The sequence below is a fragment of the Homo sapiens genome, chromosome 4 (genome assembly GCF_000001405.40).
Source record: "Homo sapiens chromosome 4, GRCh38.p14 Primary Assembly".
Classification (NCBI taxonomy): Eukaryota; Metazoa; Chordata; class Mammalia; order Primates; family Hominidae; genus Homo; species Homo sapiens.
The window spans coordinates 82351569-82374381 of NC_000004.12; the positions used below are offsets into that span (position 1 = coordinate 82351569).

The window sequence follows — 22813 nt, forward strand, 5'->3', positions numbered from 1 at the left end:
CAAACCTGAATTCTCTACATAGCTAAACTTAGTAATCCAATGCAAAATAGAACTTTACAGACAGGAAGGTCTCTAACCTATTGGAAGATATCCTACACCAAACCAACAAAGCCATAGATCTAGGAAACAGATCATAAATTGAGAGGCAAAGGGAAACCCAGAACAATGGCAAAGCCCCAACTCAACAGTTACTCAACAATTCAAAAAGGGCAAACAGTTCAGATTAGAACACAGAAAACCATCAAGAAAAACATGAAACTAATTACCAAATTAATGTATATAAAAAATCTTTTTTCAATTCTTGTTACCGTTTGAAAATCAGTGTCTGCTGGACAGAAAATTATCTAGGCCAAGAGGTACTGCTAGAAACGGCTCTGAGAATTGCAATTTAAATGAGTCAGACATACAGAAACAAAACAGTACAAAAATCGGGTTACAAGTTTTTTTCAAGAATGGGTTTGATCTCCAAAATTAATCCTTAAAATTAAATCTAAGTAGTGTCTCTCATTTAGTACTAATTAACTGCCAAAAGTGCAGCTTGTAAACATTTTAACACAACAATCAAAATTAATCTGGTAGCATGTTTTTAGTCACACTAAACCTGGTTTTAATTCAATCTGTTTTTACCCCCTCCCCGCACATTTATAAAGTTTTTGATGTGAAGGCCGAACACGGTGGTTTATGCCTATAATCCCAGCACTTTGGGAGGCCGAAGGAGGAGGAGGATTGCTTGAGGCCAAGAGTTCAAGACCAGCCTGGGGAACATAGCAAGACCCTGTCTCTACAAACAATAAAAATATTAGTTGGGCACAGTGGTATGCGCCTGTAGTCCCAATCACTGAGGAGGCTAATGAGGAGCACTTGAGCCCAGGAGTTGGAGGCTGCAGTGAGCCACTGTACTCTAGCATGAACGACAGAGGGAGACCCTGTCTCTTAAAAATAATTTTTTATTGAGAGATTTACATAAAATAAGCATATGATACCAAAAAGAACCCTAGCTTAACAACCCTAACACAAAAAATTTTCATTTATTTTGACCATGAGTCAGCAAACTTTTCTGTAAAGGGCCAGACTGTAAATTATTTTGCTTTGCAGGTCTCTGTCCTAACTACTAAACTCTACCACTGTAACACAAAAGCAGCCATATACAAAACATAAACAAATGAGCATAGCTGGGTTGCAATCTTATAAAAACAGGACACAGGTCCTCAATTTGGATCTATCATAAAAAAACTTTAATAACACTAACTTTTGCTCATTAAAATGTTTGCTTAGTTGGAGGTCAAATTCTTAGCATCAGATGTAACTCCACAAAAGTAAGAAAGGTATTCCATCACTTCACTACTATAGAACTGTATAATAATACATTTCTCATTTGTTACCTTTCTAATGAACTATTCTGAGCAGTCTGAAGTAACTGACTGCACAGCCTTAGATTACCACTCAGGGTGGAACTCTTAACATTCACTTAAGTAATACCTACAAACGATTTTCCATTCAAGTTGATGGGTATCAATTCCCTGAATGCTAATAACAGAACTCAAGAAGCTTCCAACAAATGACAGGAAAAACAATTCTGACTTAATCCTATAGTTATCACTTAGACTCTTCAGTTTCACTTTCTTAAGAGTGACTCAAAAAGTTCCTTAGGCACACATACTAATAATCACAGTCCTGAAATTTTAAGGCCCTAACCAAAAAAATAAAACCTTTGAGAAATGGAAAATAAAATCATTCAAACAAATAAGCACACACACATAAACACGGTATATATTTCTTTAATCCTCCCTCAACACTTGAATTCATCTATGAAGTCCACCACAGCTCTAAAAATCTCTCTGAACTAGCCGCATTTCTATTATAATTAACAGATTTTAAGTCCTTTTTATTTAATGGAAGCATAAAACATTAACTATCTGTGCAAAGGGGTACTTTTGCACATTTATCCAGATTTGTTCTAAAAAGCACAATACATATTAAGCAAAAACTGGGCATTTGGGAAAATATTCATATAAATCTTAATGGCTACATAAGGAAGTATTATTAAAACAACCAACAAACAAATTGACATTAAGTCATTCCCAATTTGGACAGGGAGGACACATTATGGCAAAAATTAGATTTTGCTAAAAACATTTCAAACTTCACTGCAATTTTAATCATGTCCTCAATTTCGGCAAGCCTGTCTTCCAAACTTATGCTTTTAATAACTTGAATCCATGACAATTTTTCCTATTCTGATGATAAAAGAGCCAATACATTTTTATACAAAAGGATTTATTAAAAAACCAGTAAGACACTACTACATCATGACACTGTCACACTGGGCTTTTAACACAAGACTTGCTCTACAATACTGGGGGAAAGGGCATAAAACACAAATTGATTCTGAAGCATAGCAATTAAGAAATAAAACAATGAAAGCAAATTTCTTTTAATGAGAACTCAGAATTAAACTTCAGAGGGACCCAACGTCATACTTCCATTCAGGGACTTGATACAAAAAATTTAGTTTGAACTGCTATTAGCAGGTGGCAGGAGCCACCTTCAAATGAATCTTCAAATTGGAAAATACTGCTTCACCACCTGGAGACAAAGAAGAAAAAATAGAAGTCACTCTGGGCAGGCTACAACACTTAACAAAAATTTACATAAAACTGAGTTATCCCTATGTTCCACTATATGTAAATACTGTATAACATTAAATGTGTGATATGTTTTATAAATTAAAGCTGAACAGTAGAGTCCATGAGCTGTAAATCCACATGTGCACCACTGGTTTAAGATGTGATATGCTTTTACAAGTATTCTTTAAAATATAAAAAGCTTTAAAGTATTTACCCAAAGAACTCATAAAAAGGTCAATTTGGTAAAAGGACATTTTGACCCAAGAGCATCTAATATTTAAGCTTATTTTATTGGATAAGCATATCTCTTGTCCATCACAAGTTATAGAAAAGTTATATACGACTAAAAGAAAAAGTTATCTACTGTAATTATAGGAAGTTGTCACAACAGGAATTCAGCTCAAGAACTTCTTGCAATTACTGCTACAACGTCTATAAATGGGAAAAGCAAGCATTAAAATAGATTAATAAAATATAAAATTAAGACTGGAAAATCCAGAGACAAGCTGTATCCTTAGAAGAATAAATAGTTAAAATTATTCAGTAAGCTGACGTATTTAACCATTACTGGGCCTGTAAAAAATGCATTAAAATTACATTACAAATAGTTTTTAAAAAGCAAAGAAATAAGTGAAGGCAAAGCTTGAAGTATCCATTTTATTTTATAATGCTGATACAGGATGTTGGAAGAGACCATACCAAACGGCAGCATTCGAGAGCGTGAGCATCTCGTACCCTGTCCGCATTGAGCGGGCCTGTGAGAATCGTGAAGTCAGCGCGACACAGGGCCTGCAATGAAGTTCCCGCTGGCGGGTACAAACAAGGTATAATGTCAGAGTTAGTAGGCAATACTTTTTTGCTGCAATTCCTTAATTTGTACCCATTAGCAGTACTTTACCTGTTAACTTTACTGACTTGTTAATAATAGGACAAAAAGGCAAAAGCTTAAGAGCACCTGTGTTACATATCTTTGAAAGTCACTATGTTATAATATGGTAAGCACTTCTGGGTGCTGTGAAACTCTTAAATTAAGCATTGTTTTATGAACAATATAGATTATAAAAACTACTATTGTAAATGACAAAAAAAAACTATTTTTAGAACATACCTGTTGGGGATAAGTTGCAAATGGAATAATTTAGTATGGTTTGTAGCTATTTTGATGACCACCTCGCCTGGATACCTTCCCATAACCACTCTGCTGGTCTAAAATAAAACAAGTGTTAGAACCAGAACGGTAGTGGTTACATACTAATAATCAGAACAGTACCTAATTTTAAACAATCTCAAAAAATTAAGGGTAGCTTAATTCCCAAGTGTGAAAAATTCACCCTGAGCAATCATTTATCAAATAATTTACCAAATATGTAGTGAATGCATACAATGGCAGGCATTCAGAATGAGCTGATTACTTGACTTATTGTATAAAATGGGAGACAATCCCCTCACCCTTACAGTTTAAAAGTTTTAAGTTTCAAAGGATGGACAGCTGACCCTTTCACAACCACCAGCAAAAAATATCTTAAAATTTAGAACAAATTGTCAACCACAATCAGTGCTTAGTATCTCTGCCCTTCTAAGAAAAGGGCCCCAATCTCACCCAATCCATCTTTGCTGACCTTCTTCTGACTTTAATTAACCTATTATTGTGCAGCAGGCCTAGTCACCTAAGAAAGGATATAACTCCAAGAACTGGTCTAACCAAGGAAGGAAAAGAAAAACCACTTAAAACAATGCAACCAATGCAACCACTCTCCTCCAAAAAAATGTAAGATTGCTTCTAGTAGAACCCTTTACCTGACGACTCAACAGTTGCTACAAATCAGGTGGAGAGCAACTACCTTAGTTGCACAATGAAGTCAGGGCTTTCCATGTCTAAAAGTCAAGTTTTTTGGTTCTATCAAGCTCAACATCTGTTTTAAGAGTTTCTACATTAATAATCCTAAAGCGAGGATACTATTAGTTTTAACTGGCAACATGTGGTATTATTCAGTTTTATAGGATTAAGACACATCATGCCAAGATTATTGGTTGGTCCAAGAAGTGACATTTAGAATACCTTGAGCTTAAAAGATCTGAACTGAGCTTAAAATTTTTAAATCCAAGTAAAACAAATGCCCAGCAAACATATATAGAACCACACATACACCCTACCCTTATAATGTGTGTGTGATATAGGCTGGGAGGAACCAAGCAATAAAATGGCTGCAGTTTCAAGTTTCCAGGAATTTGAAACCTGAAGACATTTGCACTTGGCAAGGCTACACTAACCTTTCTGCCTATCCAAATTTGTACAAAATAAATGTCAAATAGCAGTTAATATAAAAAGTATAGTACTTACTGCTATAATCACCATATCCATAGTAGTTGTTGTAACCAGTGTAGTCATATCCTCCATAACCACCGTAACCTTGGCTGTTATATCCATAGTTGCCATAGCCTTGATTCCAATAGTTACTATATCCCTGGTTCCAGTTTTGACTGGGGCCTGCAGCACATTAATAGGTTCACTAAAGTCAGAAGATCAGCAAAGATCTTTACTTCAGGATAATTAAAAAGCAGAAAAGCTTAAGATAGAGTAAACTTAGGCTCTAGCTTACCACCACCTCTTCCACGAGCTCTTCCTGCAAATCCTCCTCTAGATCCCCACTGTTGCTGTTGCTGATATTGTTCCTTCGACATGGCTACTTTTATTTCACACTAAAAGAGAAAAATTACATTATTAAACTGACTCAAGAAAATAAAAGTTGCTAAATAAGTTTCTAATAACCAGAATAGCCAACATGTTTAAATAGAGTAGGCTAATTTGAAACTTTCCTCAGTCAGTTTATTAATTAAACCAATATTTAGTACTTAAGAGTAATCACTTATGAGTACTTGCTAGTGATGTTACTTCATTTTACTTGTCAAGTTCTAAAAACTATTTTTGTGAAAGCCTAGACAAAAACACTAACAAATGTGTCCATCCTGCTCCCCACAAAAAGTTGGTCAATGGTAAGTAACCAATGAGAAGTTTTTAAAGCATGCAAAGAACTTAAGCCTTTACAGAGAAAGATAAATGGTTAAGCTCTTTACAACAGCTAGTTTTCTCTACAAGTAAATGGATGCTTAACTTACTTTACTAAGACCAACATTGTGGTATTTCTTTTCCATTATCTTCTTCACTGGTTCTTCTTCCTTAAAGGTAATAAAGCAGAACCCACGCCTCTTATTGGTCTTGTTGTCCATGGGGAGCTCTATGGATTCCACCTGGTATTAAAAAACAAATTTTAATATGCTAACATGCATTTTATTGACCTTAAAAGAAACACAAGTTTAGAGGGGGGAAAACACACAAAGAAAACATGTATTTGGCACTGAAGTTCTAGTCTCCTGTTTCTCCCTATTTATTCTAATCCTTTTAAGGAATTCTTCAAATTAGAACACCCATTCCATCTAAGGTCTTCACAACTATTTACAAAAATAAGCTTTACCACGCACTGACATTTACTACCTAACTCAAGGGTCACAAATTCAAATGCCCACAAAGAACAAGAAGAAAACAGTCAAATCTAAGAAAAACAGAATAAAAATGTATTTGAGAGAAAACAGGAAGTAGGGTGGTGAGGACTACTAAAAACTGGAGAGCATATGCCCAAACCAAGATGGAAGCTACTACTCAGTTTGAGAGATGCTGCCGTACAGGAGGGCAGCGTCAGTTCCCATGTTGCGTGCTCTTGCAAGTATTTTTTAAAAAGCTAGATACTGAGTTTTGTGGGCAATATCTCAAATCCTCAACACTAAAAAAGCACTTATTGTTTCAATCAAGCAATAAATGTCTGTGGGACGTATCTGGAGCCCAAGGCCACAAATTTCTCAACTTTCATTAATTCATAAAAGAAACCTCTATTATCTACCTATTTCACTAATGAGTCTAAGTTTGTTTTACTTTTAATTGAGACGGGGTCCCACTATGTTGTCCAGGATGGTCTTCATCTCCTGGTCTCCAGTAATCCACCCACTTCGGCCTCCCAAGTGCTGGGATTACTACAGGCATGAGCCATCGCGTCCAGCCTCACTAATGAGTCTATAATGATTAGTCTCATTAAATTTGCACTTACACATGCATTTCAACTGATAAGGCACTACACCCTATTCTTAATTCCTTTCCTATTTTCAACAAAAGTCTCCTTCTAATCTAGATTTCTTCCTCTTAATTGTCTGTATTTAAGAATGTTTGTCTATTTCATCTTTGTATACTCTACCCCAGCAATACTCTGCATAGAGTAGGTGCTCAATGAGAAAAACACATTATCCAACCTTCAAAGACCTGCTAATGAAGTATTTACAATATCCTTATTCCAAAACAGATCACATAATCTACCCTAACAGCTTTGAAAAGCCAAGTGACTCTGAGTCCATAATGGGACAATCACATTCACACTAATTTTGACATAAACTGGGTCAAAACATTTATAACATACCTCACCAAAACCACCAAAGTACTCCCTTATTTTCTCTTCAGGTGTATCTGGAGAAAGGCCACCAACAAAAATTTTTTTAACCGGCTCTTTTGTTTTCATGGCTTTGGCCCTTTTAGGATCAATCACCTTCCCATTCAATTTATGTTCTTTTTGATCCATGACCTAAGGAAATTGAAGTTTTCATTTAAAAAATATATATCTTAACTGAAGTTCAGAGACTATTAACTTACTTAAAAATAACTATAAATACAGATAATGCCAAGCATATGTTGACTTGCTCAAGATTAAACTGTCAAGTCATGGTGGTGATGTAACATCAACTAACATATACTGTTTAAATCTAAAGGTAAGAATGGTAGGACATACACAAATTTAACCAATTACTAGATAACCATTACCTTCAATATATACAAACATGACTGCTACTTCCCTTTAGCACTATATACAAACATAACTGCTACTTCCCTTTAGCCCAGGATCAAAATAATGATTCAGTTAAAAGTTGCTTGCCTAACAAAATTTCAAAATATGGACTTCTGTGAATTGCTAAAACACATCCTTTTAACTAGGCATCTTTAAGTCTATAGTATCTTTAAAGTTAATTTCAAAATTTAGCAGAGCCTGGAACACAAATTATTCAGGAAATAATTCCTGAACCTACCTCTATCTTCATAAAACGTATTGGGGCAAGAACTATTCTTCCTTCCTATACTATCAAAATGGGGAACCACAAATAGGCAAACTCATTGTATCAAACTATCCATATGTTAATATTTTATATTATTAACTGATCAGAACACGTAACACACTACCTTATCTACACTCTCCGATTCTTTAAATAGCACAAAGCCAAAACCCCTTGATCGCCCTGTGATAGGATCTAACTTCAGAGTGCAGTCTACAACTTCACCAAATTTGGAAAAGTAGTCCTTCAGATCTTTCTTTGTAGTGTCCCAGCTAAGGCCTCCTATAAACATTTTCCTGTAAAGACAAAAAGCAGTATTAAAATGCTTAAAAAAAATTGCCTTAAATATTATCCACATCAATAACACACCTTTTCCAAACTGCACCAGTTTACTGGGCAGTATATTAAAACATCATTCTTCCTACATAACCACACATCAGGAACATCCTATTCCAAAAAGCTGGCTTATTACTGCTGCTCCCAAATAATTACAAAATAGTGAGCAAGCAGCAAATTAAGTCTTTCAACTTGCTAAAAGATAAACATATACCCAAAGTAAAAATACTGTACATAAAAGTTTTCCTTAGATTAAAAAGTTAACAGCAAAAAAACCAGAATCTTAGCTTCAAATTTCTCTTCCAAATGTTCATTAAACTTGTTAAAATGCTATGCAGTTCCCCACTGATCTCAGCAACCAGCATTGGTGTCTATGCTGAAGCTCCTTTTCTATTTTAACAGTTCTCTCATTAACAAAACTCTTAGCACATAAAATGGAAAATTCTACATCTCACAATTAAGTTGTGAGCCAATTTTTTTGATGTGCTAAGAGTCCTTAAGACAAAAGTAATGTGCAATATAAACAATTTAGTGAAAATTATCCATTGAAGTACAATCCACTAATTAACTTAGATGATTCGTTTACAGTAGAACCTCAGTTAACCAGCAATAAAGTATTTAAGCCTTTAAAATGCAGAAAGTGATGGGTGGTAAGCGGAAATCCACCAAGACACTCTAAGACCAAACGTATATACTCAAAATAAAATATTTTAAGGCGAAATCTTACTAACATTACAGCAAAACACCAGAAAGTTCAGATCTGGCAGCTTTACATAGGCTCCCTTTGTACAAAAATAAATAAATAAATAAATAAAAAGCTATCCTATACCTAACCTTCTTTCTACCCTTTAAAAAGACAGGACTGGAGGTTTTTAATTTTAAGGGTAAACTGTCAGAATTTGTTACATAATGGCTAAAAATGTCACCATGGGAATCAAATCAGACTTGCTCAACATTTTCTCTTCTTTTTAACTGGGGAAGGGTCATGGGTGGGGACTGGGATGTGACACTAACTCAGCTCTATAAAGAAATTAAAGGCCTTTCATTAGGAAACATCTCCATCTTGTGGGCTTTTAAGATACTGCCACTAAGGCCCATTCTTGGAATAAAAGGCCAATTAACTGTCCCTTGAATTAGGGTCTTTCTTCACTTCCTCCAAGATACCTGATTAACTGAGGTGTTACTGATCTTACTATCCTACCACAGTCTTGTTTTACTTCTAGTGACAAAGCAAACTTTCAGTGCAGAGTAAGTCTTAGGTATATACTGCGCTTCCCACTTCAGGTTAGCTTTTCAACTTACATGTATTCTAGAGCTGGGCCATTTATATGCTTAATGTTCAGGACTTCCTCAAAGTTTCCAGGCTTGAAGTAGCATTTATAAAACAACTTTGGCATTTTATAATCAAATGAACAAAAATACCCATAATGTTTTGTGTATTTGAAATGTTTACTTCTTGCCAATTTCATGGAAGAAATTTGAGTTATTTTCTCAATATACATTTTCTTTAATTTGAATAGTGTGTACCTTCTAATATACAATCTTTATTTACATAATTTGCTATAAACACCTTATTTTTAACTTACAGGTCCAGAATACTTCCTTCACAGACAGAAGTTATTTACCAACATTCACCCTGTAAAGGTGAGTACACTATATTTTTAATGAGAAAGAGAACTGACTATAAAGCAATGACCTCTTGCTAAGATGACCATAAGTTCCACAACAGAAATAACTTCAATTAAGTTGAGATTTAACTATTAAATTACCCTTTCCATGATTATTACAGAAATTTCTCAATAATAACTAACAAACTTTGAAAGTATTTCAGCCTGAACACAACAGTTCTAACAAAAACATTTTTTAAGCTGTTGAAAGGCAAGAAAATTCTCTGTCTGGTCTATTCAGATATGGAGACAGAACTAGTTTTGATTTTATTTAACCAAAAAGCAATGTTTATATTGGGAAAATACCCTTAATTTAAAATTATTAAGAAACAGAAAACAATTACAAAGAAATAAATTAAAACACCAAGAATGAGGTATGTGGTATTATTCTGAAGCCCCAAATGTTTTTCAGACAAGAAGCAGATTTTCTTAAATATCACCTAAGCATATCATCAGCTGGCCCAGCAAAGTGCTCTCCAAACGTACTCCCCACCTTTAGTATGGTAGTTGTTTAATATGCCTACCTTAGAGCTACAAGGGTTCACTGAAGATGCTATCCCTCCTAAACTAATAATCAAATATCAATTATCCAGAATATTAAAAACTTCAGCTATCCAGCACTTTTGGAGAATAAGGAGCCAAGTATTATTCCACCTCCCTTAAAGCACCGCCTGCCCTCTCTAATCTTTCCCCAATTGTTTTTAACCTTCAATCATTTGAAATGAGATTTTTTTCTAACAGCATCACACTTTTCTGCCTTCTTATACTTCAAATACAGTAATCATAATTTAACACTATGGCTCAGACATCACTATTATGCTGATTTAGAATATCCACAGGGTCTTCTAAAATTAGCTATTAATACACCAAGTCCATCTCATTTCTTCACAAGTTCTACTTTTCATTTTTGCCAGATCACCAGTTGCTGTTCTAAAAAGTCTCCCTTCCGTTTTGCAGAGTAAGTAGCCAGCTGTCAAACTTTTCAAATTCTGTGTAAAGTAGAAGTCTCTAAGCAAGCACCTAAGTGGCTCGTCTTTGAGACAAACGTATTAATATTTTGGCAGCCCAAGAACACTCTGGCTTTTTCTTCTGTTCTAATCAAAAAAGGTTGTTGTTCTCAGGGTATGCTTAGGCTTTAAAAAAAAAAAAATGGTTGCTGACCAAATAGGTGAATATGCTACAATGAACACAAACTGGACCAATTCTATTCCATCTTTACTAAATGGAACATATTAATTCCATTCCATCTTTTTCTGTTTTTGGTTGCTTAGTTTTTGAGACAGTCTCACTCTGTCGCCCAAGCTGGAGCGCAGTGGCACAATCTCAGCTCACTGCAACCTCTGCCTCCCAGGTTCAAGTGATTCTCATTCCTCAGCCTCCGTGGGAGGGATTACAGGCTGCACCACCACGCCTGACTTGATTTTTGCATTTTTAGTAGAGACGGGGTTTCCCCTCGTTGGCCAGGCTGGTCTTGAACTCCTGGCCTCAAGTGATCCGCCCGCTCCAGCCTCCCAAACTGCTGGGATTACAGGCGGAAGCTACCATACCCAGCCCCAAACTCTAACTTTATAGTACAATGGGGAAAAGTCTGCTTATCTTAATTATGGATAAATGGGCACTTAGTCTCTACAATGTTGGCATACATGCTCTCCCTCAAACTGATGGCATAATGATTTTATATATATATGTGTGTGTGTGTGTGTATATATATATATATATACATTTACAAATACTTATTTTTTTCTTTTTAAACAGAGTCTCACTCTGTCGCCCGGGCTGGAGTGCAATGGCATGATCTAGGCTCACTGCAACCTCCACCTCCCGGGTTCAAGCAATTCTCCTGCCTCAGCCTCCTGAGTAGCTGGGATAACAGGTGCATGCCACCATGCCAGGCTAATTTTTTTTTGCACTTTTAGTAGAGATGGGGTTTCACCATATTGGTCAGGCTGGTCTCGAACTCCTGACCTCGTGATCCACCTGCCTCGGCCTCCCAAATTAGAGGCGCGAGCCACCATGCCCGGCTAAATTATCTACATATTTTCTATGACTGTATCTTGCTTTTAAAGCACATGTACTGTCTGTCCAGATTACCTCTGCTGCCTTGAATACAAAGCATTTCATATTGCTGTCACTCCTGCGTAGTGCAAACACTTTCCAATGAAGTAGACAGAACTTCAGAAAATACCCTAAGGAGCCATGTTAAAAACGACCAAGACTTGTTCAACTAGCAACAAAGATGGCCCCTAACGCTGCAATAAGTTTAAACTTTGATCCTTAGTTCTAAGTGAATCAATCCCAATTAAAATGCAGGACTTCATCTACTGTATTTTATTAACATAGTTGAGTATCTTAATCCTAGCTGTGAACTAAATATTCAGCACCCCAAGGCTGAATATGGTATTCAGTTTAAAACACCTACTCCACAACAGAAGTCTCCTTGCTTTCACATTGGCTTCCACCAAATTGTAAAATTAAATGACAAGCATAAAGTTATACAACTCAGCATAGATAACTATCCAAGTGATATGCAGTATCATTCAGGAATTTAGGCTCCTTTGTGGGACATTTTATCATCTTTTAAAGCAAGTTAAGTTTAGAGGCAATAAAGACAAAATGCCGGGGTTTAAACCCTACTGCTGCCTTTTTTTAAGACAGGGTCTCACTCTGTCTCCCAGGCTGGAGTGCACTGGCTCCATGACAGCTCATTGCAGCCTTGACCTCCTGGGCTCAGTTGGTCCTCCCACCTCAGCCTCACCAGTAGCTCGGACTACAGGCACCCACCAACACACCCGGCTAATATTTTTGCAGAGATCAGGTTTTACTATGTCGCCCAGGCTAGTCTTCCAACTCCTGGGCTCAAGCTGCCCACCTCAGCCTCCCAAAGTGCTGGAATTCCAAACATGAACCACTCCACCTGGCCCCCTGCCTCTTACTAATTGTGTAACATTAAGAAAAAATATTAAAGTCCAAGATTGTTTTCCCATCTGTAAAAAGAGCATACCTCAGATATTTGCAGAGGGTTAAAACTAGTTAACACACTTAAAGGACACAGAATAGTCTGACACACATCCTAAATGATTGATAGAAGTTACTATTTTGAAGGGGTAAAGCACTATAAGCACTATCTAAACATAATTTAATAAAGCAAACTTTTTATTTACTCAATGGCTTAATTTTTTAAAACTGCATAGGCTTTATAAACTTTCCAACATTAAAAGGAAAAGGCCACAATGAGTTTTATATAAACATATTCTAATATTTTCAATGCTGCCAACTTGAAATAACCCAGAAATTTTTAAATAGTCCATGTAAAAAAATATATAAACTAAAAATTAGGTGGTATTTCAACTAAGACCCTTTAAATGTAGCTTCCAAAATCACCTTGATGACTTGGTCTACCCTACATTTATGCCAGTAATTTTAGTAAAGAATAATTTAAAACATAAAAGGAAATATACATGGAGCAATCCTGGCTGGTGGAAAATGTTCCGATTTAATAATCCTGGCTTTTCCCCATCAATAAACTTATTCTCTGGACTATTTAGGTCACTAGGTTTTTAACATTCCCAGTCAATATTAACTATTTTATTCCAAGATACCTCCCCTAATAAGTCTTTATTGTCAAACACCTTATTCAAGGTAAAAAGTTAGCCATTATACTCACTCCCAATTTTGGAATAGTATTCTTTTTCTATGTTCTATAACTTCGTATTATTTTTACTTTTTTAGAGACGAGATCTTGCTCTGTTACCCAGGCTAGTCACAGAACTCCTGGACATAGCGATCAGCCTCCCAAAGTGCTAGGATTACAGGCATGAGCCACCACACCCAGCCAATCCTTTAACTTTTAAACACTTCCTAACAACTTATGATCTTACATACATGGCTTTATAACAAGTTCTGACAGTTTAAAAAATACAACAGAATGTCAACCTGATATACATTTCAGGTATAAAACATAAATGACCAATCACTGTCATCTTTTAAAGTAATGTTACTCAAGCACACCATTAAATCCTTACTGAATTTTTCCAGTATTTTATCCATCATAATTATTCTTCTAAAATCCTAAAATGACAAACTAAAGCTAAGTCACTAGTTACCTAAGGGGAAGGGAGGAGGTTACAATGCAACTAGATAATATCACACGTTAGGGTATTTTACAAGTTGTATGAAAACTACCTTGGGAGAGAGCTTGACAAGCTTTCATCGAGTTCAAATACTAACCAGCCTTTTTAGATCTGATCTGGTATAAAATTCATGAAAACCACTTTTTTGAGACAGAGTCTCGCTCTATTGCCAGGCTGTGGTGCAATGGTGTGATCCTGGCTCACTTCAACCTCTGCCTCCCAAGTTCAAGCAATCTTCCCATCTCAAGCTCCTGGGTAGCTGAGACTATGGGTGCACACCACGAGGCCCAGCTAATTTTTTTTTTTTTTTTTTTTTTTTGTAGAGACAGGATCTCATCATGTTGCCCAGGCTGGTCTGGAACTCCTGGGTTCAATCTGCCCACCTCAGCCTCCCAAAGTGCTATATTACAAGCGTGAGCCACCGCACCCAGCCCACTTTTTTTAACTATTTAAAACTAATGAGACATTAAGGTTAGCCAATAACAAATCTTCCCCAAAAAACACTTTAGTCAATAAAAATATAAATTTTGGTATTATTTCCCCATCATTAAAGAATAGGTATTCCTCTCCCCCAGCTTTCTACAGATGACATTTTCAAGGTAAGTGTGAAAAAGAATTCCATTTATTCAAGACTAATATACAATGGACCAAACATTTTCAGAGACTTCTCTGTATTAAATCTCATTACTTCACACTTTAGAATGAACCTAACTAAATGACTACTAAAAAGCGAAGTTGAAAAAATAAACATCTAATAAATGAAACATGACAGTTTTTTTGGGAGGGGGACAGAGTCTCGCTTTGTCGCCCAGGCTGGAGTGCGGTGGCGCGATCTTGGCTCACTGCAACCTCTGCTTCCCGGGTTCAAGCTCTTCTCCTGCCTCAGCCTCCCAAGTAGATGGGACTACAGATGCCCACCATCATGCCCGGCTAATTTCTGTATTTTTAGTAGAGACAGGGTTTCAACATGTTGGCCAGGTTGGTCTCGAACTCCTGACCTCAGGTGATTCGCTTGCGTCAGCCTCCCAAAGTGCTGGGATGACAGGCATAAGCCACCGCGCCCGGCCAACATGACAGTTTTTTAAATAAACTTTTTTTTTCTTTTTTTGAGACGGAGTCTTGCTCTGTTGCCCAAGCTGGAATGCAGTGGTGCAACCTTGTCTCACTGCAACCTCCGCCTCCAGGGTTCAAGTGATTCTCCCGCCTCAGCCTCCTGAGTGACTACAGGCGCATGTAACCACACCTGGCTAATTTTTGTATTTTTAGTAGAGCTGGGGTTTCGCCATGTTGGCCAGGCTGGTCTCCAATTCCTGACCTTAGGTGATCCACCCATCTTGGCCTCCCAAAGTGCTGAGATTACAGGTGTGAGCCACTACGCCTGGCCTAAAAATAAAACACTTTAAGAGACCAGGTCTCACTATCAAAATGCAGTGGCTCCATCATAGCTTCCTGCAGCCCTGAGCTCCTTCCTGGGCTCAACACATTCTCCTGCCTCTGCCTCCTGAGTAGATGTAACTACAACTACAAACACACCCCCCAACACACTAGCCTTTTTTTTTTTTTTTTTTTTAAAGAAACAGGGGTCATATTATGTTGCCTAGCTGGTCTAGAAATCCTGGCATGAAATGATCCTCATACCTCAAGACTTCTGAGTAGCCAGTGATTACAGGCACGAGCCACTACTTTAATTAACTTTAAATGCTTAATCCAATACCTCCTTTTCACTTCACTACAAGGAAGCAATGACATCTTGTATGTTTACGTTTTAAATAAGCTCTCAATCAGCTTTGTAAGGTAAACTCCCATTTACCTAGAGGTTAAGGAATAGGTATTTTCCTTAACCTGAAGGTTAAGGTTCTGGTTAACTGAGATTACTACATATTCACAATTCTATAAAACTGTGTACTGGAAATCAATTTAGGTATCAATGCTGAAGTCAGAAAATGATTTGTACCTTGATGAATTTTCCAACGTTTTAAAATCATGTTACTTTTCAAAAGTGTAAGGAAAAATCTGTAGGAGATTCATTCCATGACATTGTCTGTTGGTTGCTTTTTGAGTATATTTTCTCATGGCTTCATCTATCTTGCTCATAAGACTAAATGGGGAGACAGACTTCCTGGCTGTGTGGGCTCTGTGGTAGTCTGAAGTCTAGATAAGCAGGAGTTTACAGTGCAAGACCCAATACTTAAACTGTCACCTTGATTACTGGCCAAGCACCACCAGTAAATTGGAGTCTTCCCTCCCCACCCCCAAATATTCTTAAATACCTAGCTCCAACGTACAATATAATACTCCAGAAACTAAAACATGCTTACCTTTACTCCACAGGAGTAAATCACTGGCAGTATCAACTATTAGGGCACTGGATAAATACACACAAGCTATGAAAGCAGGCTATGTAGTCAATCCTCCTGTGGTGAGCATTGTTTCCAACACATAGATCAGCAAACCAAGTAACAAACATGTCGTATTACCTGAAACCACACTGTTGGAAGTGAAGCAACAGAAAGAGATCCCACGCTTTCAGCATCCAGTTCAGTGCCCTATCTACTAAAACGTTGAAGCAGAACTGAAGTCAAATCAAGCTTGGACTAACATAAGTTATGTTTCACCCATTTGTAAATGTGCACACACTTGAGGTACACAGCTTCCAAGTGGAATGGGAAAAAAAATTACTCTATTCCTTTTTAAATGCTTTCAAGCATGGTATGTATTATGACTTGAAGGCTAAAACTAATCACATCCTTCACGTTGGCATAAATAGTATACTCAATATGTATACTCAAATGTATACTCAATAGTATACTCAAAATGTTCTCGTATTAGGGCAGCCTTACCCTAATATTATGTATTAGGACGATAGCAGAGTACCCAGGAAATATTAAAAACATACACTGAGTTTGTAGAAAGGGTCACATGGCTTAAGGGAAAAAACCCCAGATTTAAGGCAAAGTATGTGTATCTCAAAAACAAGCACTGAAAAACTTCAATGACATTCTCCCAATTCCAAACTTAAAAAACGAGATTATTTTTAGTATCTTTCATAATAGATGAAAATTTACAGTGAGAAGTATTTAATACTCTTCGCTTAAATGTTCATCTAAAGATCTGGGGACATCAATTTCTGGAATTTTTAACTCGGGAAATTTGTCAAAGGCTCCCAAGAATGCTAACACTGAGACCAATCTACGCAGGGTCTCAACTTTACTACATACAGTAAACCCAACTGTACTGAATCAAAGGCCAGTAAATTTGGCATGAGACTACTCTAAAAGAAATTATTTTACAAAGCAAACAATGTTCAGATTGCCCCAGAAGCACTAAGGTATAAGACCATAATCTCAAACATTTAAAGCAAAAACATGAGCCTAGTCTTTTATAATCAGACAGGCAACAACCTACAGCAGGATTCACAGAATTCCCAAATGGGAAGAATCACACTTGGGCTCATTATACACTAACCATTAACAGGACAATATCTACTGTCCTGTTATTAAAGAAGCATTGCTGGACTTTGGCTAAGTGAATGGGGGGACTTTTTTGCTTCCTACCCAATCCAATGCAGGAAAGTCTATGTACCTACCTTGTAAAACTATCTCAAAGTTAACACAACATTGTAGTTTCCATTGATTTTTAAACTTTAAAAACTCTGCCCTCAGAGAGCTTGCTACATGGCATGTATATTTTGCCAGACACTAAATAATTTTAAAGTACCTACCCCAAATGAACTGCAGCACTGCAGAGAACAGAATGGGTCCACACCACAAAGTAAAATGAGAAATTCCAATGCTTATAAGTAAAAACTACGGATGTTAATGTGGGAAAGAGTAAATCAAAGTGAACTCAGGAGGGCATACTATGGAAATAATTACTTATTCTAAAGTCCCATAGTAAACTGTAGAAACATCCACTAGAGGTGTAACAGGCATGCCTTCCTAAAAATAGCTGTCCATTCTTACATGCAAAAGGAAAAAAACCTATTTCTAAAACCAACTGATTTTTAAAGTATTTTAGGATGAAACTGTAATCACTTTATTCTCAGATTTGCAGAAGGAAATGCACACAGAACTGTGTTTAATAAATTCAATTTGGATACTCTATTAACCAGTCTTACCCTCAATATTGAGACTATAAAACTGTTGCCCTTATAATATCCCTCAAAATGGGAGAAAGAGGAAGGGACAGATACGGTGGGGAGTGCAGACACCAAAAAAAAAAAAAGAGAGAGAAAAAAGTCTGAAAGTTTTTCATTCAAAAAGAAAGCCTTAACGTCTGGAACAGGATAGGGCTGCATAATTGGAAAGTTAAGAAAAGTCAAATATTAGAGCCCTTAAAAATGAGAACATTATTTTTAAGTGTAATTTTAAAATCAACCTGGCTAGGCCGGGCGCAGTGGCTCACGCCTGTGATTACAGCACTTGGGGAGGCCGAGGCAGGCGGATCACCTGAGGTCGGGAGTTCGAGACCAGCCTGACCAACATGAAGAAACCCTGTCTCTACTAAAAATACAAAATTAGCCAGGCATGGTGGAATATGCCTGTAATCCCAACTACTTTGGAGGCTGAGGCAGGAGAATTGCTTGAACCTGGGAGGTGGAGGTTGCGCTGAGCCAAGATCACACCACTGCACTCCAGCCTGGGCAACAAAAGCTAAACTCCGTCTCAAAAATAAAATAAACCTGGGTAAAATTTTATTTTCAGTAAATGACAGTTGGTTACTATCTAGAATGTTTATTAACTATGAATATAAACATTTCTCCATTTTTCCTGAGATTATTCAAAAAAGTTGTAATATTACATCGTTTTAGGTAGCAGGTCAAGTGTAATTACTTCGAAGAGTCAAAACACTGACCTTCAAATTTAAGTTTATGGTCATTTCAAATCACTGGAAACAATTACATGAGACTCAAAATACATAATGGAGTAATGTCAAATAGTTTATAGTTTAATCTTAATTTGCCACTATTAGCTAGCAGTGAAATTGAGCTGCTAGTGCCCACCACTCACCAAATACAGGGAATAACATTCATCGAAACTGTGACCCCAGTCTTTTTTTTTTCCTCTTTTTTGCTTTTCCCCTTGCCTGTTTCCCATCTGCTTTTTCTCCAAGGTAAAGCTGGACTGATTTCAGTGGATGAGAATACAGTGATAAGCAAATCTTTAAATGTTACCCTAAATAGGCTCTTAAAATAGAATGTAGCTTGTAAAGATATAAGTTAACTGCCTGCAAGTTAGTGGCCTTCTACTCTCCAGTGGTGGTGTATAAACCCCTGAAAATTCAAATATAATCCTAAAAGCAGAAAGACTGACATTTAGGGGAGGGGAAAGGATGGATAAAAAGAACAATACTCAACCTACCAGCCTCCAAAGAGAAGTCATGCAATTGTGAATACATGTCAACCAACTGTTATTAATATTCCAGCCAAATCACACTGAAAATAAAAAATCTGGTAAGAGCTGTAGTGGAAAGCCACATTAGCCCACCTTTTAATGGTATATATATACACACACACACACACACACACACTTCTTATTAAAGGTCTATTTACAAATATGCTAGGTAAAAGACAAACATTTTTCCATAATACACAGTGCTGCTTAAAGAACTGCTTCAGACATCTCCAGAATATTTCAGTATAACATGCATGACATTTTAAACACAATATTTTATATCAAGGAGTCTTCATATTTAGCCATTAAACTTAAATTCCAACAAAAATATTTTTCATCTTAAAATAAATCAAATGTGAAGATTACGGTAATATTTTTTCTTGCTCGATATAAAAATATCGTTACTAATTGTTTAGCTTAAATTGCCAAACTGCAACTACATGCATTACCACAGACCAAATACCATGTAACGGCATCAATTTTGCCCAAAGATTACACATGATGCCTATAAAAGGTATATATCCCAGGTACAAACCTACTGTATGTACTATGGTCTAGAATTTCCTGGGGATCAATGGGCAACTAACCAATACACAGCCTCTACATATTATGACTACTGAAACCTTTATAATACAGAAATAAAATTTAAAAGTTTTACCATTCTTCCCGCTGTGCCGTCGCTGCTTCAGAGTGTCGTGGGGAGGAGTTTGAATGGCTAGGGAATTAACAACCGGTACAGCAACCAATCAAAATTCTAGTTTTAGTTTTTGACACTGTTAGGGTTAAAAACTTTAATTCATTTACACTTCAACAGTAGGTAACTATAAAGTCAGCTGCTTTGCGATTTGAATTATCAGGGCTAACAGAAAGCCTGCCCCAAACAGGAAGTTATACAATTAATCATTTTGGTGCCTCTGTCCAAAGAACAGAATTCAGCAAACGAAAACCAAAATGTTAAAGGTTTTAAGTTTCCAAATATCTAACATCTTCCTTTCTCAAATAAGCTATATACAATTCGAGTTGGTTCTGTTTAATTTTTAAAAGTTTGCTTCCCTTCCCACCACCACTCCCCCAAAACCAGCACTATCATCAAACAGCCTGACAAGAATCTGCCTAGGCTGGGCTTAATAAACCCTATATTCCAAAGTGCTTCTCCCCTCCCAACTTTCCCTCCAAATCCTGGGCTCTTTCTCAGTAAAGGAAATCGTGTTTTCTAATACTAGATTAAAGCGACATCTTGTTATATCCACCAACACCTTTCTCTTTACAGTTAAAAAAAAATTCAGACACACACACACCCCTCCCCATTACAAAAAGGAATGGAAGCGTGAACCCACGATCATCGGTCAGTAATCGGAGCTAAGAAAACTCAACCAAGAAACCTGATTTAGTCCCTCCTGCTAACTCCCGTATTATGTTCCCAATCCCAAATGCTGCATTTTAATACACTAAATGCAGATTTAGGTAGTATATACAACTGTTATTTCAATTGGAGGAAGCAAGTTAATACTAAGAAATTTGCACCAAAAAGAAAAAAAAAGTATCCCATAGCACAATACAGGATTTGTTTCTCTTAAGAGGACTACAGGCCTCCCTTAGTGGGCGGGAAACAGATATCAAGACACCAAAATAGGATCCTGGGCACCGGGAAAAAAAGGGGGCTGGGGGTTGTAAAAAATTAGGTTGCACATAAAAAGTAAGGTACAATCTGTACTAACAGTTGGGGAACCCAATAGCTGAGGGCGCGAAAAGGGTGCGCGGTTAGAATAACTCAGTGGGGTGGGGGAAGGGTAGATGCTAGGCCGGAGATAGGAACAGCTCCAGTCAAGTGCAGGCCCGATCGACTAAGAACTTAACCAGAGCCCGCGGAGCAAAACCAATGTACCAACAAGAAACTCGGAGCATTTCACCAGACCCAATTTGGTCTGCATGTCAAAATGTAGGGCCTGTATGAGTATGCCATTGTGCGATAGCGTATGGTGGAGAAAATGAGTAAATCCTTAGGCGAAACTTATTCAAAATCCCAAGAAAACAGTCGGCCTAAGGCCGACAAGGGAGAGGCAGAGGTGGACAGCCTACGCGTTCCCCAAAACATGTGCTTATAAACAATCGCATCGTTTCAGGATGGTGGAGAAGCACCAAATAAACCTTAGTAATACAAACAGAGAAGCTGTTTGTGTCTGTGTTTTTATGCCCAAGACTGTAGAAAAAGGGAAAAAGAGGGGACAGCATGGAAAGAAAAAAGGTACCCCACGACAGGCGGGAAAAAATCCTGGCGGCTAAGTCGGTGGGAGGAGACCCATGGCGAGGGAGGAAAGGAGGGCGGGCCGAGGAGCAGCATGGTGACGGCTAAAGGTGGAAACGTGTGTGATGGGGGAGGGGGGCGATAAGCAGGCAAAGGAAGAAGGAAATGAAGGTCCGGGGAACCCAACATAGAAAAAGGGAGACCAGTGCAAGGAGGCTGCATGGGGGCCCGGAGAACGGGCTGAGAGCGGGAACCAGGCCTAATGGCGGGGGAATAAAGAGGGGGAGGGGGACTAGTTGGGCCTGACTATCCTGGGATGCCCCTTACTCACCCTTCATCCTCCTCGTTCTTACTGGCGTCAATCTTCGCCCCCTCCGACTCGGCGCTGCCCCCTTCGGTGCCTCCAGACGCGGTTCCGCCCCCGGTCCCGGCTCCGCTTCCCGCCGCCGCCGCTGCCCCCTGTGTCGCCGCCACCATGGCTCCCTCCTGCTCGCCCGCCGAGCCGCCTACCGCCGCCGTTGCCGCTGCCGCCGCCCCGTCCCCGCCGAACTGCTCCTCCGACATAGTGCTAGTGTCTCCGCCGCTGCCGCCGAGACTACACCCGCCGCTGCCGCGAACCGAAACTAGCAGCAAAGTAATCCCCGCCGCTGCCGCGCGCCCGCTCTACCTCGCGAAGCACACAAGACAGGGAAGGCGCGCGCGTGGCTGCAAAGGCTCCTGCGCCTCTCCCTGGCCTGCCCCCTTCGCCTCCCACTCTCGCGCGGCGCACACTCCCGCTCTCTCCCGCTGCACTAAAAAAGAATAAGCACCAGCGGCGGCCGCTCTCGCCTCCTCCTCGCTTTAATGGCGCCGCCGCGGACCACCTAAAATGGCCGACGGAAGAACGGCGCGTCCCGGTCACGTGACGCGAGAGCGCGCCCTTCGCGCGTCCCCCCACCCCTATCCCCCTAGTTTTTTTTTTTTCCCTTTCCTCCTCGGTCCCGCCCTCTCGCTACCCTTTATACCTTCCTCTCACGCTCCGCGTTGCACAGCCTTGGGGGCCTTTAAAAGGAACCGGAAGTGTCGTGAGCTAAGACAGTCGCGCGGGGACCATCGAGAACAAGGAGTGCTGTTTCGAAGTAGCGGCTAGAGGGGCCCCCTGCCTCCGCCCCCGCCCTTCCGAGGATTCCTGGAGTCCACTCACCCCTCCCCACCACTCCAGTAGCGGCGGGAGCAGCAGCGTTAGGCCGGGGTGTGGCTGCACCTCTGCGAAGGCTGTCGTGCCCCG

At 38.6% G+C, this 22813-nt stretch overlaps 1 protein-coding gene across 4 annotated transcripts, besides 5 other annotated features; it reads right to left on the reverse strand.

The window, feature by feature from the left end:
• On the reverse strand, positions 930–22423 carry HNRNPD (heterogeneous nuclear ribonucleoprotein D). Of its 4 annotated transcripts, NM_031370.3 has the most exons (9): positions 21878–22423; positions 19960–20016; positions 7903–8071; positions 7091–7252; positions 5745–5876; positions 5228–5327; positions 4969–5115; positions 3736–3833; positions 930–2586 (listed from the first exon to the last, which is right to left on the reverse strand). In NM_031370.3, exons 1-8 carry the CDS (start codon positions 22108–22110, stop codon positions 3766–3768), a joined length of 1068 nt encoding a protein of 355 aa, NP_112738.1. In that variant the 5' UTR covers positions 22111–22423; the 3' UTR covers positions 930–2586; positions 3736–3765. The 4 variants fall into 4 exon arrangements, with proteins under 4 accessions (NP_112738.1, NP_112737.1, NP_002129.2 ...); NM_031369.3 differs by lacking the exon at positions 19960–20016; NM_002138.4 differs by lacking the exon at positions 4969–5115.
• Positions 11021–11070: an enhancer, noted in NCBI's record as "active region_21658". NCBI's record gives its function as "activates an Ori minimal core promoter by ATAC-STARR-seq in GM12878 lymphoblastoid cells {active_cell/tissue: GM12878}" and the evidence as "EXISTENCE:reporter gene assay evidence [ECO:0000049][PMID:35858748]".
• Positions 14302–14973: an enhancer, noted in NCBI's record as "H3K4me1 hESC enhancer chr4:83287023-83287694 (GRCh37/hg19 assembly coordinates)". NCBI's record gives its function as "activates a minimal SCP1, AML or CMV promoter by ChIP-STARR-seq in naive H9 embryonic stem cells {active_cell/tissue: H9 hESC(naive)}" and the evidence as "EXISTENCE:reporter gene assay evidence [ECO:0000049][PMID:30033119]".
• Positions 20972–21021: an enhancer, noted in NCBI's record as "active region_21659". NCBI's record gives its function as "activates an Ori minimal core promoter by ATAC-STARR-seq in GM12878 lymphoblastoid cells {active_cell/tissue: GM12878}" and the evidence as "EXISTENCE:reporter gene assay evidence [ECO:0000049][PMID:35858748]".
• Positions 21922–22021: a silencer, noted in NCBI's record as "silent region_15528". NCBI's record gives its function as "represses an Ori minimal core promoter by ATAC-STARR-seq in GM12878 lymphoblastoid cells {active_cell/tissue: GM12878}" and the evidence as "EXISTENCE:reporter gene assay evidence [ECO:0000049][PMID:35858748]".
• Positions 22382–22551: an enhancer, noted in NCBI's record as "active region_21660". NCBI's record gives its function as "activates an Ori minimal core promoter by ATAC-STARR-seq in GM12878 lymphoblastoid cells {active_cell/tissue: GM12878}" and the evidence as "EXISTENCE:reporter gene assay evidence [ECO:0000049][PMID:35858748]".